The 4,403-nt window shown below is 42.1% G+C and overlaps 1 pseudogene; it reads right to left on the bottom strand.

Moving 5' to 3' along the window:
• Positions 1-2,947: 2,947 nt before the first annotated feature.
• Positions 2,948-4,019, bottom strand: UBFD1P1 (ubiquitin family domain containing 1 pseudogene 1; annotated as a pseudogene).

The following is a 4,403-nucleotide window of genomic DNA, read 5'->3' as shown; positions in this document are numbered from 1 at the left end:
TTAAGATTTTGAGTATACTCTCTGAAGCTGGGTTAGAGTCTCGGGCTTCTTTTGAAAGGTGCCTCCTAGTCTGGAAGGGCTTCCTGCCTCCTTGTTCAGAGTGGGAATTATTATTCCCTGCTTTCCTAGGCTGAATGTCTTTCTTCCTGGCTCTCTGTGAGGCCTCTCTAGTCTTTCTCTTTTCTCTATTGGATCCTGCTTCTCCCATGAGAACTACTCGGTCAGCTGAAAACCCCTCGTTTAAAACCTCTGCTGACTATATAGTCAGCCACTATGGTCTAAATACTGTTTGCTTTCTTTCCCGTGGACAAAACTTTACTGAAAACTTTCCTGAGCAACAGTGGCTCTTTTGGTGCTCCTGAGATCTCTTCAAATTAGTCCACCTGAAAGGGAGTCCTAGAGCAAAACAAAACACAAATTTCAGATGCACATTGGCCTACTTATTTTGCCTGGTATGAAGAAGGCAAAAAATGGCTAAATCATTCAAATCTTACTCAAACTACTGAAGTTATTAGACAACGTCTCCAGAAAAAAATTTCCAAGCTGATAAACTTCCTAGAGCCTCCACAACTCTTCCACCCTCCCCCTTCAGCTTTCTTTTGTATCAATTTCTCCCAGAATGTCCCTCACCAGCTGCATCGCCAGCCCCTGAATTCTCTGTAATCATAAGGTTCACTGGGCTTCCATCTCTTGCTGATAATAAGGGTGAGGCTGGTACACATTCTCAAGCAAGGTTAACAGAAGAAATTACATTTAAACATAGGTCTTGATTCAAATTATATGCCATCGCTAAGGACTTTCTGACCCCAGAAGGAAAGGGAAAGATTTATTAAACAATTTAGAATATTTCTCAGGGGACACTCTCTAAGATTCCTTCACTTATCACAACTTATCTACCTACTGGTTGGACCTGGAGATGCCTCCCTTTGGTTTGAAAAAGCCAAATGGACCACCATCTCTGAAGACCTTCAAGGATATTGGACTATCACTGATTTTCATCAGAGAATGAGGCAAATAAGAGAAAAATTACTAGGAGCCATCTCTCAAGTCTATCCCACCAAAATTGATTGCTTACATATCCAAAATTGTAAGCAACTAAAGGATGAAACTTGCTATCGTCATCAACTATAGATAACATGGGAAGAACACTTAAAGCTGGAACTGACTTACTTGACAGTTACTGCTCTGCCCACCAGCTTTGTAAATGGTCTCAGACTGGAGATCCATGATGCATTAAAGAAAAATTATATTAACCGGCAAAATTAAAACATAACTGAGTTCCACACATTAGTCTAGCATTAGGTAAATAGTATTTCAGAAAGATTGGAAACCACACGCCACAAGCTTATGGCATCGCAAATGAAACAGTTAAAACAACCTGAGAATTTAAACTCACAGGAAGCTCCAAAATCACTGGCTCCTATTGATTTAGACACTTGCTGATATTATATGGAAAACAATATCTGTGCCTGGGATCCTGCAGACCTCAAGAAAAAAACAACAACAACTGAGTACCCTCCACATCAAAGATTGTTCCCTCTCTTCCAGGGAAGTAAATGTCCAGTGCCTTCGGCTACCACTAAACCACAAGGAGAAATACCATCTTTAGGCTTTAGCAAAACAAAGGTCAAAAAGTGGCTAGAGAAAAAATTCAATTATGCTCACTGTTTTTGTTTTATATTTTGTAATATATATATACACATATATATATAAATATATATGTATATAAATATATATGTGTATATACATATAGTTTGTTTCTTTTTTGAGACAAAGTCTTATTTTGTCACCCAGGCTGGAGTGCAGTGGCATGATCTCGGCTCATTGCAACCTCTGCCTCCCTGGTTCAAGTGATTCTCCTGCCTCAGCCTCCCTAGAAGGTGGAACTACAGGTACGCACCACCATGCCCGCCTAATTTTTTGTATTTTTAGTAGCGACAGGGTTTTGCCATGTTTGTCAGGCTGGTCTCAAACTCCTGACATCAAACAATCTGCCCGTCCCAGCGTCCCAAAATGCTGGGATTACAGGCATGAGTCACCGTGCCTGTGTGTTAAATATCCAGGTCATGATATTTCATCTTCAAGTAAAATCATCAGGCTGAGTCTCTCCTGCTAATCACTTTTATCTCCCTGAAACAAAATGACGATAGAAAATGTTGGGGGGTCTTGTGGCATATTGTAAAGTAAATACCTAATTTCTGTATGACTGCCTCACTCTTTATGACTAGTGATGAGGGATTTATCCCCAAACCCAGTAGCCTGGGACCCTGTAATCAGATTCTTTGGAAAACTTTAAGGACTCTACTTTCACCTCTCACTCTTAGACTTCCCAATTACTCCCTGCCCTTTTACTTGTTTTTGCATGAATGGGAAGAACATGTCCTTTGAGCGTTACCTCAAAAGCATAATGGACACCAGAGATATCTAGGGTATTATAGTCTAGCCTTAGACCCATTAGCTAAGGTATATCCTTGTTGCCTGCAAGCCATGGCCACAACCACCAAATTTGTCCAAGATCCTATTATTAATAAAGCACAACACTTTTCTGCATCTCTACTGATCTCTTATGAAACTTTAAAATTCTCCCCCTCCCACATCACTGTACATCACTTTTAAAACCTTAACCTTGCCACTTGCTTCCTTTACCAACTGATGAGAAACCTCACAATTATGTCACTAACCCTAGATCATTACCTTATTCTAGGCTAAGTTTATCAGAAAGCCCCCTTGTTCAAGTTTGTGTTGATGGCTCCTACCTCAGAAGGCACGATGGGACTTGCCAGGCCCTATAAGCCGTCACTGATCAATATATCTCTTGAATATCACGCTTCGTCAAACTTAATTTATATTTAAACTTTTTCTCAGAATTCAGATTTATTGATTTCTGTTATGTTGACTTTTAAAATGGTATTAAGCAGTCAGATTGGCAGTCAGCAAGAAAGGGAACTGGTGATTTCAAGATAAAATTAAGCTGATGGTGTAAGTACATCACCACTGGCTGCAGTCATCACATCATCTTAGATTGAATATGGATATTTTTTTTTGAACAAAGTTCCAGAGCTCTGATATCCAGGGACGCTGCAGATGTTTTCTGGCAATATCCTTCACTTTGGTCAGTCTCCTGAGCCAGCAGTGAAAGTGTTTTCAAAAACACTGTCATTTTCCCAGCACAGTGTTTTTGATTGCATCAACATGTTGAGTTGGAATCCAGCAGTAAGAGCCTCCTGTGGGACCCTACTGAAATATCACCATGTTGTAGTATTCATGACCCTAGTTTCGCTGACCACATTTTTAATGAAGCCCGTGGGCACTTTCTCAATCTGCCCTTGAACTCTGAATACCTACAGTGCTGGCCAGAAACCGGTGAATTAGGCGTGTTTGCTTCTGTCCAGGAATCTTTAGTGCTGATCTGGCCTTGTTCTAGCTTAAGTGAAGTCTCACTTTTCCCCCAGACTAATTGTACTTGCCAGACAGGGGTAGTGTTGGAAGGGTTCCTGGGCACACCTAACAGATCATATCTTCAGGTTCTCCTTTATTTAACACTTATCTGTGTTGTTTCTGCCTGCAGAGAGGCTCCTTCTCGTTCTTTTTGGCATTTGCATCCTGCTGTGTAGTATCTTTGGGTGGGTTTACTGCTTAAACACTGCATTGTGGAGCCAACCACCATGATCTTGGCCCTACGGGTCACTTTTATTTCTCTCAATGGGTCTTATACTCAATGTTCTATTCTCAATATCTTGTACTTGGGGACCAGTCCCTTACACATGACTTTCTGCATGGCAGGTGGAAGACCTGTAATCAAGTGAATTTTCTCTTTTAGCTTGGAGCTTGTGCTGTCCGAAGGGAACTTCATGTTGTGTTTGGTTTTGTTCCAGAGGACCTTCAGGTGGTCCACCAACTCCCTGTCTGTGCTGCTTCCCATATCCTCGCTTTTGCTGACCAAGGCCTGGGCCAGGGGACTGGGCTGAGGCCAGTAGCAGGCTGCTTCAAGTGGCTCAGGAGTCCTTGGCCACTTCCCCTTTTGCCTTCTGACATGATTGAAAGTTTCTTGAGGCCTCCCCAGCCATGCTACCTGTACAGCCTGCAGAACTGTCAGCAATTAAATCTCTTCTTCATAAATTACCAAGTCTCAGGTAGTTCTTTATAGCAATGCAAGAATGGACTAATACTGGAAGCCTGCACTTGAGTCCCCCATTGGCAGTTACAAGTACTGGCCCTGATAGTGATTGGGAGACAGTCCTCAGGCTTCCTGAAGAAATGTCTAGGCAAAGAGCAGAGTGACTGCTACTGCACTGATGTGTCACATGGGGGATGGAGATCCTGGCACCACATCCTAACAAGTAGGAATTGGACCTACTTGCCTCTCTTGCCGCAGACCCTTCAAGGTTTAATCCCCTGCTACA

This window comes from Homo sapiens, chromosome 3 (genome assembly GCF_000001405.40).
Source record: "Homo sapiens chromosome 3, GRCh38.p14 Primary Assembly".
Classification (NCBI taxonomy): domain Eukaryota; kingdom Metazoa; phylum Chordata; class Mammalia; order Primates; family Hominidae; genus Homo; species Homo sapiens.
The sequence above is the reverse complement of the archived record's forward strand: the minus strand, read 5'-3'. Positions and strand labels throughout refer to the sequence as shown.